At 44.4% G+C, this 12,412-nt stretch overlaps 1 protein-coding gene across 2 annotated transcripts in view; it reads left to right on the forward strand.

Annotated features, from left to right (window-relative positions):
• Positions 1 to 9,958, forward strand: part of ZNF713 (zinc finger protein 713) — a 54,770-nt gene extending 44,812 nt beyond the window's left edge. For both annotated transcript variants that reach the window (NM_182633.3, NM_001366796.2), the window contains exon 7: positions 6,715 to 9,958. In NM_182633.3, coding sequence (NP_872439.2) covers positions 6,715 to 7,739 — 1,025 coding nt within the window. In that variant the 3' untranslated portion in view covers positions 7,740 to 9,958. The remainder of the gene's footprint in view (positions 1 to 6,714) is intronic.
• Positions 9,959 to 12,412: the final 2,454 nt, after the last annotated feature.

A 12,412-nucleotide genomic window follows, 5' to 3' on the forward strand; every position in this document is an offset into this window, starting at 1 on the left:
CCTGTAATTCCAGCACTTTGGGAAGCCAAGGCGGAAGGATCACTTGAGCCCAGGAATTTGAGACCAGCCTAGGCAATGTAGGGAGACTTCGTCTCTACCAAAAAAAAAAAGGCAGGGTATCGTGGCACGTGCCTGTGGTCCCACCTACTCTGGAGGCTGAGGCAAAAGGATCACTTGAGCCCAGGAGGTCAAAGCTGATGTGAGCTATGATCACACCACTGCACTCCAGCCTAGGTGACAAAGCAAGACCCTGTCTCAAAAAAAAAAAAAAAAAAATCTAATATATGTTTGGCCAACTAACTACTCTTGCTGTGCTATTTCTAATAAGAAGCTACAGCTGGGCGCGGTGGCTCACGCCTGTAATCCCAGCACTTTGGGAGGCCGAGGCGGGTGGATCATGAGGTCAGGAGATCGAGACCATCCTGGCTAACAAGGTGAAACCCCGTCTCTACTAAAAATACAAAAAATTAGCCGGGCGCAGTGGCGGGCGCCTGTAGTCCCAGCTACTCGGGAGGCTGAGGTGGGAGAATGGCGTGAACCCGGGAAGCGGAGCTTGCAGTGAGCCGAGATTGCGCCACTGCAGTCCGCAGTCCGGCCTGGGCGACAGAGCGAGACTCCGTCTCAAAAAAAAAAAAAAAAAAAAGAAGCTACAACCTAAATGTGAATTGGTTAAAAATACTTTGGTACTGACTGGGTGCGGTGGCTCACACCTACAATCCCAGCACTTTGGGAGGTTGAGGAGGGCGAATCACAAGGTCAGGAGTTCAAGACCAGCCTGACTAACATGGTGAAACCCCATCTCTATTAAAAATACAAAAAATTAGCTGGGCGTGGTGGCAGGCGCCTGTGATCCCAGCTACTTGGGAGGCTGAGGCAGGAGAATAATTTAAACCCAGGAGGCAGAGGTTGCAATGAGCCGAGATCACACCACTGCACTCCAGCCTGGGTGAAAAAGTGAGACCCTGCCTCAAAAATAATAATAATAATAATTTCATACATAAGGTCTTAAGGCCTACTTTTACTCCTGTAATTTTTGTTTGTTTGTTTGTGACGGAGTTTCACTCTTGTTGCCCAGGCTGGAGTGCAATGGCACAATCTCGACTCTGCAACCTCCACCTCCTGAGTTCGAGTGATTCTCCTGCCTCAGCCTCCCGAGTAGCTGGGATTACAGGCATGTGCCACCACGCCTGGCTAATTTTTTGTATTTTTAGTAGAGATGGGGTTTCACTATGTTGGCCAGGCTGATCTCGAACTCCTGACCTCAGGTGATCCACCCAACTCGGCCTCCCAAAGTGCTTGGGATTACAGGTGTGAGCTACTGTGCCCGGCTTCCTCCTATAATTTTATGCTTGAATTTACTTATTTGAATGTACTGTATTAAATGAGTAGGAATAGCTTGTTGGCCATGCATAAACTAATTTTTGTTTTGTTTTGTTTTTGTCGTTGTTGTTTGCGAGACAGGGTCTGGCTCTTGTCACCCAGGCTGAAGTGCAGTGGCACAATCTCAGCTCACGGCAACCTCTGCCTCCCGGGCCCAAGCAGTTCTCCCACCTCATCCTCTCCAGTAACTGGGACTATAGGTGCGCACCATCACACCCAGATAATTTTTGCATCTTTTTGTAGAGACAGGGTTTTGCCATGTTGCCCAGGCTGGTCTTGAGCTCCTGGGCTCAAGCATTTGCCCACCTTGGCCTCCCAAAGTGCTGGGATTACAGGCAAGAGCCACCATACCGAGCCTAATTTTTTGTTAAGGATAATTTAAAAGGGTTGGGGCTACCAGATTTTGTGTGGGTGAACATGATGAAATCAGTGACTTAGGAAGAATAATTTAGTTTTATTATGCTGAATAATAAAATGGGAGGAAAGATTGTTGGCAAAGAGACTAGTTAGGATCTCCTTAAAACAGAGGCTCTTAAACTTTTTTTGAATCTTGGACCCCTTTGAAAATCTAATGAAAGTTATGGTTCTCGCTCCAGAAAAAAATATATATGTACTTGCGCACAAAACTTCGTGTTCAATTTTAGCAGGTCTACAGATCCCCAGTACCACCAAAATATTCACAAAAGAAATAAAACAGCCCATAAATATATGGGGAAATGCTCAAGCTAAACATAATGAAATAAATAAAAATTAAAATGGATGAGGTACCATTTTTCACCCATCAAATTGGCAAAATCAAAATGTTATCACATCTTGTATGGGGAATGGTGTGGGTGAAATGAGTTACATTTCACACTGTTAGGTGCATTTGGTAGAGCCTTATGTGTGTTTGGTCTCCCAGGCTTAGGTACAGTGGCACAATCATGGCTGACTGCAGCCCCAGCCTCCCTGGGCTGAGGTGACCCTCTCACCTCAGCCTCCCTAATAGCTAGGATGGCAAGCACATGCCACCACACCTGGCTGTGTTTTTTGTATTTTTTATAGACAGGATTTCACTTTGTTGTCCAGGTTGATCTTGAACTCCTGGGCTCAAGCAGTCTGCCTGCCTTGGCCTCCCAAAATGCTAAGATTACAAGTGTGAGCCACTGTGCCCAGCCATGGTAGAGCCTTTTAAGAGAACAATTTGACAGAATTTATCAAAATGTGTAGTGTGCAAACCCTATGATCTGGCATTGCCTTTTTTTTTTTTTTTTTTTCCTGAGACGGAGTCTTGCTCTGTTGCCTAGACTGGAGTGCAGTGGCACGATCTTGGCTCACTGCAACCTCCGCCTCCTGGGTTCAAGTGATTCTCCTGCCTCAGCCTCCTGAGTAGCTGGGATTACAGACATGCACCACCACGCCCAGCTAATCTTTGTATTTTTTTAGTAGAGATGGGGTTTCACCGTGTTGGCCAGGCTGGTCTTGAACTCCTGACCTCACGATCCGCCCACCTTGACCTCCCAAAGTGCTGGGATTACAGGTGTGAGCCACCGTGCCTGGACTGGCATTGCATATTGTCTGTCATATTGAAATACTAGCTTAGGTCCATAAGATGTTTGTATAAGGATGTTCATTGCATTATTGTATGAAATAGCAAAGAAAATTGGAAACCTAAAATTTAACAGCAGGAGAAAAGATTTTTTAAAAGTAGGATATGCCCTTTAAAAAGAATGAAGTAGACCTATATATATATATACTCATTTAGAAAGAATATTGTTAAGTAATGAAATTACATGGGCAATACATACATTATCCTGTTTTGGTTTAAAAATAAATTAAAACTATATATGTATAAATACATACACATAGTTACTCATATATACGTGTGTGTTAGAAGGGACTCTTCCTCCCTGAGAGTTGACAGAAGATACCTGCATATCAAAGTAGGTGTAGGAACCCTCACCCACATCTCCATGAGCATAGGAAATGGCCTCATGAACCTCATCCCTTGGCCAGCCAGAGCAAGGCTATAAGAAAGATCTAACGGCCAGGCGCGGTGGCTCACGCCTGTAATCCCAGCACTTTGGGAGGCCGAGGCAGGCGGATCATGAGGTCAGGAGATCGAGACCATCCTGGCTAACACGGTGAAACCCCGTCTCTACTAAAAATACAAAAAAAATTAGCCGAGTGTGGTGGCGGGCACCTATAGTCCCAGCTACTCAGGAGGCTGAGGCAGGAGAATGGCGTGAACCTGGGAGGCAGCGCTTGCAATGAGCCGAGATCACGCCACGGCACTCCAGCCTGGGCAACAGAGTGAGACTCTGTCTCAAGAAAAAAAAGAGAAAGATCTGAGAGAGGCCAGGCATGATGGCTCACACTTGTAATCCCAGCACTTTTGGAGGCGGAGGCAGGTGGATCATTTGAGGTCAAGAGTTCAAGACCAACTTGGCCAACATGGTGAAACCCCGTCTCTACTAAAAATATAAAAATTAGCCAGGCATGATAGTGTGCACCTGTAGTCCCAGCTACTCGGGAGGCTGAGGTGGGAGAATCACTTGAACCCAGGAGGCGGAGGTTGCAGTGAGCTGAGATTACACCACTGCACTCCAGCCTGGGCAACAGAATGAGACTCTGTCCCAAAAAAAAAAAAAAAAATCTGAGAGGGACTTCCGTGAGGAGATTGGGTAAAGAGCAGAAAACCATGTTGTGAGGTCCTAACCCCCTTTTGAGGGAAGAGGTAGAAGGATGCATATTAAGGGTTGAGCCAAGGTGGAATGGTCAGAATTCTCCCCACCCAGTTTCCCATGACAGTTCCTGGCAGAATTAGTGATGATACTGCCTTTTACCATCAAGTGTCCCAATTAAGACAATAATTATCTGGTTACCCAACTTCAAGGGGACCACTCTGGCACCTGTAATATCTGTTCCCTGTGGTTGGAAGGTGAAGACTGATGTGGACCTCATGTCTAAGAATGCTGAAGCTGACCCACTCAGAAAGTCCAAGACCAGGAAGAGATGACTTAAATGGCCTTTGTGGGTCAGCCAGGAGAAGCTGCTGAGTTGGGATGAGTCTGCATTGCCCCGCTTTGTTGGGGCAAGGTATCATCGGTGTTTCCTGTGGGTCAGCCAGCATGGTCTTGGATCTTGTCAAGTAGGATGCGTGCCCAAAGTAGAGATATATCTATCTAGATTATGGAAATGACAAGGGGTGAGGGGGAGGTGTCTAGCAAGAGCCTCCCAAAAGTGGTAAAAGTTCTCCAAAATGAAGCCATTTTAACCATCTGCTAAGCTGAGTGAAGCCACTCCGCCATACAAAAACGAGCCTTTCTCTCCTCCCTCCACACAGTCCCTAATCCCTAACTCTTGTTAGAAACTAAACTGCAGTGAGTGGGCTGGGTGCGGTGGCTCATGCTTGTAATCCCAGCACTTGGGGAGGCCAAGGCGGGCGGATTGCCTGAGCTTGGGAATTCGAGACCAGCCTGACCAACATGGCAAAACCCTGTCTCTACTAAAAATACAAAAGATTAACCAGGTGTAGTGGTGCATGCCTGTGGTCCCAGCTGCTCAGGAGTCTGAGGCACAAGAATCGCTTGAACCCACAAGACAAGAGGTTGCAGGGAGCCAAGAGCACGCCACTGCACTCCAGCCTGGCCACAGAGCAAGACTCTGTCTCCAGATAAAATTAAAATTAAAATTAAAATTAAAAAAAACTACAGTGAGTGAGTGAGGGCAGGGGCGAGCAGGGAAGTAGTTAAGCGGGGAAAGAAGCAAGAGAGTAGAGGCAGAGAGACTCATTGGGAGAGGGTAGAGTCGGGGAGCGGCTCAGGCAGGGAGAAAGATAGAACATGACCCTTTCTGTAACCCATCCAGGGGAAGGGAAAGGAATTACTTTGGGGTTCTATTACCCAGGACTGAGCATTTTAATTATTGAGTAGATACTGTGTTTGTGACAATGTAACAGTAGGAACATCTGTTACCTAAGAATTAAGGGGAGGCTGGCAGCAGTGGCTCACACCTGTAATCCCAGCAACTTTGGGAAGCCAAGGCAGGAGGATTGCTTCAGGCCAAGAGTTCCAGACCAGCCTGGGAAACGTAGTGAGACCCCGTCTCTAAAAAAAAAAAATCAAAATATTAGTCAGGCATGGTGGCACACACCTGTAGTCCTAGCTACTTGGGAAGCTGAGGTGGGAGGATTGCTTGAGCCCAGGAGGTGGCTACAGGGAGCTATGATCATGCCACTACACTCCAGCCTGGGTGACAGAGTGAGACACTTTCTCAAAAAATAAGAATTAAGAGGCCGGGCACGGTGGCTCATGCCTATAATCTCAGCACTTTGGGAGGCTGAGGCAATCAGATCACCTGAGGTCAGGAGTTTGAGATCAGCCTGGCCAACATGGTGAAACCCTGTCTCTACTAAAAATACAAAAATTAGCTGGGTGTGATGGTACATACCTGTAATCCCAGCTCCTCGGGAGGCTGAAGCAGGAGAGTTGCTTGAACCCGGGAGGTGGAGGTTGCGGTGAGCCAAGATCACACCACTGCACTCCAGCCTGGGCGATAGAGTGATAGAGCGAGACTCCATCTCAAAAAAACAAAAAAAAGAGGAAAGCCATGGGACCTGTTCAAGTCTTCATCTAGAAGCAGAGGAAGAATACCTCCACTAAGTAAAGTTTAAAGAAGTTGTGGGAAACTAAAATGAAATTTAAAAATCATAATCCATAAGTCATGCTTGTCCAAAATATGTTTTTCATATATACCTGTGTGTACATAGGGAAAATCTGACAAGACAGGCTCTAAACTATTAACAAGGATTTCCTTTAATGGGTGGGATTCTTTCTTTACACATTCTCACATTATTTGAATACATTTCTATCAGCAAGTATTAGTTTTATCATTTTAAACAAAAGATAAAAATAGGAAGAAATACTTTTTAAATGAACAAGTAGCTGGCATTACAATCAAGTCATTGGCGTATGAGATTTATAAAGGCCTGGCCTTAGACCAGCCTTCTCTAATTAATCATTCCCCTGTCTCCCACCACTGATCAGAGACTTTTCCCTGATATGTCTTATTCTCCTGTCCATCTGCTTTCAAGCATGGATACTCCTGGATGAGCTCTTCTTTCTATGATTACTGCACATGTTTAAAAATTTCCCCCTGCTCCTTGCTTCTTGTGACTTCTCATAATCTTTCCCTTTGTGACGTGGCCACATTGAAAAACTTTCAATGCCGTGTATGCCTTGTACACATTACTGTCAGTTTTATTTGGTAATTCGCTGTGCAACAATTTCTTTTTCAAATCATAGATAACATGAGAATATTGGAAAGTATTTGTATGTTCTGAATTTCTTTTAGATGGAGAAAACAGACCCGAAATCAAAAAGTCAACCACAAGCCAGAATATTTCTGATGAAAATCAAACCCATGAGATGATAATGGAGAGACTCGCAGGAGACAGCTTCTGGTACTCCATCCTAGGAGGACTCTGGGATTTTGATTACCATCCAGAGTTTAACCAAGAAAACCACAAGAGATATTTAGGACAAGTAACTTTGACCCACAAAAAGATCACACAGGAGAGAAGCCTTGAGTGTAATAAATTTGCAGAAAACTGTAATCTGAACTCAAACCTTATGCAGCAGAGAATTCCTTCCATTAAAATACCCCTGAATTCTGACACACAGGGAAACAGCATCAAACATAATTCAGACTTGATTTACTATCAGGGAAATTATGTAAGAGAGACTCCCTATGAATATAGTGAGTGTGGAAAAATCTTCAATCAACATATTCTTCTTACTGATCATATTCATACTGCAGAGAAACCCAGTGAGTGTGGGAAGGCCTTCAGCCACACCTCATCTCTTAGCCAGCCTCAGATGTTGCTTACAGGAGAGAAGCCCTATAAGTGTGATGAATGTGGAAAAAGATTCAGCCAGAGGATACATCTCATTCAACATCAGAGAATTCACACAGGAGAAAAGCCTTTTATATGCAATGGATGTGGGAAAGCCTTCCGTCAGCATTCATCCTTTACTCAACATCTGAGGATTCATACTGGAGAAAAGCCCTATAAATGTAATCAATGTGGTAAAGCTTTTAGCCGCATCACATCCCTTACTGAACATCATAGACTTCATACCGGAGAGAAACCTTACGAATGTGGTTTCTGTGGCAAAGCCTTCAGTCAGAGGACACATCTGAATCAACATGAAAGAACTCATACAGGAGAGAAACCCTATAAATGTAATGAATGCGGGAAAGCCTTTAGCCAGAGTGCACACCTTAATCAACACAGGAAAATCCATACTCGGGAGAAATTATGTGAATATAAATGTGAGCAAACTGTTCGCCACAGTCCTTCATTTAGCAGCACATAACTTATGGTGGGGGAAATCAGATAAATATATAAATGTAGGAGATTTTTTGGTCAGACCTTTTTATCCCATTCAATATCAAATTATTCATAGTGGAGAGAAAGCTTATACATAAATTTTTGTTTTGTTTTGTTTTTGAGACTGAGTCTCACTCTGTCACCCAGGCTGAAGTGCAGTGGTACAATCTTGGCTCACTGCAACCTCTGCCACCTGGGTTCAAGCGATTCTCCTGCCTCAGCCTCCTGAGTAGCTGGGACCACAGGTATGCACCACCACGCCCAGCTAATTTTTTGTATTTTTAGTAGAGACGGGGTTTCACCATGTTGGCCAGGCTGGTCTCGAACTCCTAACCTCAGGTGATCCGCCCACCTCGGCCTCCCAAAGTGCTGGGATTACAGGCGTGGGCCACTGCGCCTGGCCATAAACTTTCAATGCGTAGAAACCAAATTAATTTAGACCTTAAACTAGCAGCATATTACATTCCCAGGAGGGGTTATAAAAAGAAAAAATAATTTATTTTACAAATGAGATTATATTTGGAGTCATGTTCCAAATCTGATATAAAACTTTTTAAAAAATCAGAAGTCCTTATCCAGGCATGGTGGTGCACACCTGCAATCCCAGCTACTCTGGAGACTGAGGCATGAGAATGACTTGAACATGGGAGGTGGAGGTTGCTGTGAGCTGAGATCATGCCACTGTACTCCAGCCTGGGCAACAGAGCAAGACTCTGTCTCAAAAAAAAAAAAGAAAGAAAGCCTATAGGCAACAACTTGTAATTACTCACCTGTAAGTTTTATGGTATAAAACTTTTTTTTTTTTTTTTTTTTGAGGCAGAGTCTCGCTCTGCCACCCAGGCTGGAGTGCAATGGCGCGATCTCGGCTCACAGCAACCTCCACCTCCTGGGTTCCAGCGATTCTTCTGCTTCAGCCTCCCGAGTAGCTGGGACTACAGGTGCGTACCACCACGCCTGGCTAACTTTTTTTTTGTATTTTTTAGTAGAGACACGGTTTCACCATATTGACTAGGCTGGTCTCGAACTCCTGACCTTGTGATCTGCCCGCCTCGGCCTCCCAAAGTGCTGGGATTATAGGCGTGAGCAACTGCACCTGGCAGGTTATGGTATAAAACTTTTAAATCAGAAATTTTGATTAATTAAAGACAATGCTGGCTGGGGGCGGTGGTTCACGCCTATAATCCCAGCACTTTGGGAGGCCGAGGTGGGGTGATCATCTGAGGCCAGGAGTTTGAGACCAGCCTGGCCAACATGGTAAAACCCCATCTCTACTAAAAATACAAAAATTAGCTGGGTATGGTGGTGCACGCCTGTAGTCTCAGCAGCTTGGGAGGCTGAGGCAGAAGAATTGCTTGAACCCGGTAGGTGGAGGTTGCAGTGAGCCAAGATCACGCCACTGTACTCCAGCCTGGGCAACAGAGTGAGACTGTCTCAAAAAAAAAAAAAAGTAAAATTTAAAAATAAAGGCGATGCTGTAGTGCAGCCAGTCACATTAACTTGAAATAAACATAAAAGAGGAATATTTCACGAACGTCAGTTATTTGTATGCTTTCTTTACAGTTTTTACCATATCTAGTATTTACTTAATATTCTTTATAAAGGGATGCAAGATTTTTAGCCTTCTCCTAGGAAATACTATTTAGCATATAAAATAAGTTATATGCTAGTTTTATATGCTAATTAAATTTATTCTACTCTTCATCAAAATAGATACATAACCTTGAAATTAAAAATATTCGTTGATGTCCCCCCAAAAATCTTGTGTGCCGTTGTTTGAGAAACAGTGTGATAGTTTGTGGCAATATCCTGTGATGATTCTTTTTGCAATCTTGACATTATTTTCATCAAATGAATCCTAGGATCACTTTGAGAAGAGCCTTGAAGAAGACTTGAGGGTCCTATTGATGAACTTTGAAATATTGATTCAGAGAAGTCTGCTTTTCTATTTTGTTTTAGCTTTAAATTTCCCTGTGGCAAGTCTAGATTTTTTTTCAGTTAAAATTATTTCTGCTGTATTTGTAGAACAGAAGTTTTGGGATTTTGTAAAATAATGACCAGAGACTAAGAATTCCCATGCCACCCCGTATCACTGTGGAAGATGGAGAAGTGAGGAACTGTACCTGCGGGTGAGCCCTGGTGCCATGTTGAGGGTGGGAATCAGGAGAGCTGCAGTGGCTTATATAAACACCTGACGAAGTAGTCTAATTGGCTTAATCATTTATTTTATTTATTGAAATATATATCTGGGCTGGGCACGGTGGCTCACATCTGTAATCCCAGCACTTTGGGAGGGCAAGGCAGGTGGATCACTTGAGGTTAGGAGTTCAAGACCAGCCTGGCCAATATGGTAAAACTGCGTCTCTACTAAAAATACAAAAATTAGCTGGGCATGATGGTGTGCACCTGTAACCCCAGCTACTCAGGAGGCTGAGGCAGAAGAATTGCTTGAACCTGGGAGGCGGAGGTTGCAGTGAGCCGAGACTGCACCACTGCACTCCAGCCTGGGCAATAGAGCGAGACTCCATCTCAAAAAAAAAAAAAAAAAAAGAGAGAAAGAAAAAAGAAATATATATCTGTAACACTTTTTTCCAAAAAGAATTCATATTAGTTTGTTTGCATTGCTATAAAGGAATACCTGAAACTGGGTAGTTTATAAAGAAAAGAAGCTTTATTTGGCTCACAGTTCTGCAGGCTGTGCAGGAAATACGGTGCTGGTGTCTGCTTCTGTTGATGGCCTCAGAACGCTTCCAATTATGGCGGAAGGTCAATGGGAGCCAGCATATTACATGACAATAGAGGGGTCAAGAGAGATGGGGGAGGTTGCAACCTCTTAAACACTCAGCTCTCACATGAACTACCAGAGTGAGAACTTGAAGGGGTGGCCTTCCCCTCCACACCCGTGAGTATTTCTAGTCAGGTGAGATGAGAGACTGAGAAAGGAAAGAAGACACAGAGACAAAGTATAGAGAAACAACAGTGGGTCCAGGGGACCGGCGCTCAGCATACCAAGGATCTGCACCGGCACTAGTCTCTGAGTTCCCTCAGTTTTTATTGATTATTATCTTCATTATTGCAGCAAAAAGGAATGTAGGAGGGCATGGTGATAATAAGGAGAAAAACATGTGAGCAATAGAATCTATGTCATAATTAAGTTCAAGGGAAGGTACTATGACTGGACGTGCACGTAAGCCAGATTTGTTTCTCTCCACCGAAACATCACAGTGGTGTAAAGAATAACAAGGCAGCATTGCTGCAAACATGTCTCGCCTCCCACCATCGGGCGGTTTTTCTCCTATCTCAGAATTGAACAAATGTACAATCCGGTTTTATACCGAGACATTCAGTTCCCAGGGGCAGGCAGGAGACAGTGGCCTTCCTCTATCTCAGCTGCAAGAGGCTCCCTCTTTTACTAATTCACCTCAGCACAGACCCTTTACGGGTGTCGGGCTGGGGGACGGTCAGGTCTTTCTCATCCCACGAGGCCGTATTTCAGACTATCACATGGGGAGAAACCTTGGACAATACCCCGCTTTCAAGGGCAGAGGTCCCTGTGGCTTTCTGCAGTGCATTGTACCCCTGGTTTATTGAGACTAGAGAATGGCAATGACTTTTACCAAGTATACTGCTTGTAAACATTTTGTTAACAAAGCACGTCCTGCACAGCACTAGATCCCTTAAACCTTGATTTCATACAACACGTTTTTGTGAGCTCCAGATTGGATCAAAGTGGTTGGGTCAAAGTGGCTGGGGCAAAGCTACAAATTAACAACATCTCAGCAAAGCAATTATTCAAAGTACAGGTCTTTTTCAAAATGGAGTCTCTTATGTCTTCCCTTTCTACATAGACACAGTAACAGTCTGATCTCTCTTTCTTTTCCCTACAAGAACTCATTCAATAACACAGGAGGACACCAAGCCATTCATGAGGGATCCACCCCCATGGCCCAAACACCTCCCACCAGGCCCCACCTCCAACATTGGGGATCACATTTCAACCTGAGATTGGAAGAGACAAATATCCAAAGTATAATATATCAGAATTTAAGGTGATTTCATTTGATTTTTATGATTGCTGCCTTGTTTGACAGAAGTCACATTTGATGTTTTTTTCTGTTTTTTGTTTGTTTTTTTGAGACAGAGTCTCGCTCTGTCACCCAGGCTGAGGTGCAGTGGCTTGATCTTGGCTTACTGCAACCTCCGCCTCCCAGGTTCAAGCAATTCTCCTGTCTCAGTCTCCCGAGTATCTGGGATTACAGGTGCGCGCCACCACGCCTGGCTAATTTTTGTATTTATAATAGAGACAGTGTTTCACTCTATTGGTCAGGCTGGTCTCGAACACCTAACCTCAGGTGATCCACCCGCCTCAGCCTCCCAAAGAGTTGAGATTACAGGTGTGAGCCACCGTGCCCGGCCCCACATTTGATGTTTTAAAGCATTCAAAATGTAAACGGTCATAAACCAGGAATAGCTGCAAGCATAGGGACACTTCAGTTTCTTGGTTTTCAGGTTTCCTCTGTCTTCTCAGGCATGGCTGAAGAAAACATAAGGTTAAGGTAGGAGTGCAGCCCACTTGCTTTCTCATCTTTCTTCTAACTTGAGCCTGGCTCAAGACTTCCCTGATTTATTCTCCCCGAGAAAGGACTAGATTTTGTAGGCCCT

Source organism: Homo sapiens, chromosome 7 (genome assembly GCF_000001405.40).
Source record: "Homo sapiens chromosome 7, GRCh38.p14 Primary Assembly".
Classification (NCBI taxonomy): Eukaryota; Metazoa; Chordata; class Mammalia; order Primates; family Hominidae; genus Homo; species Homo sapiens.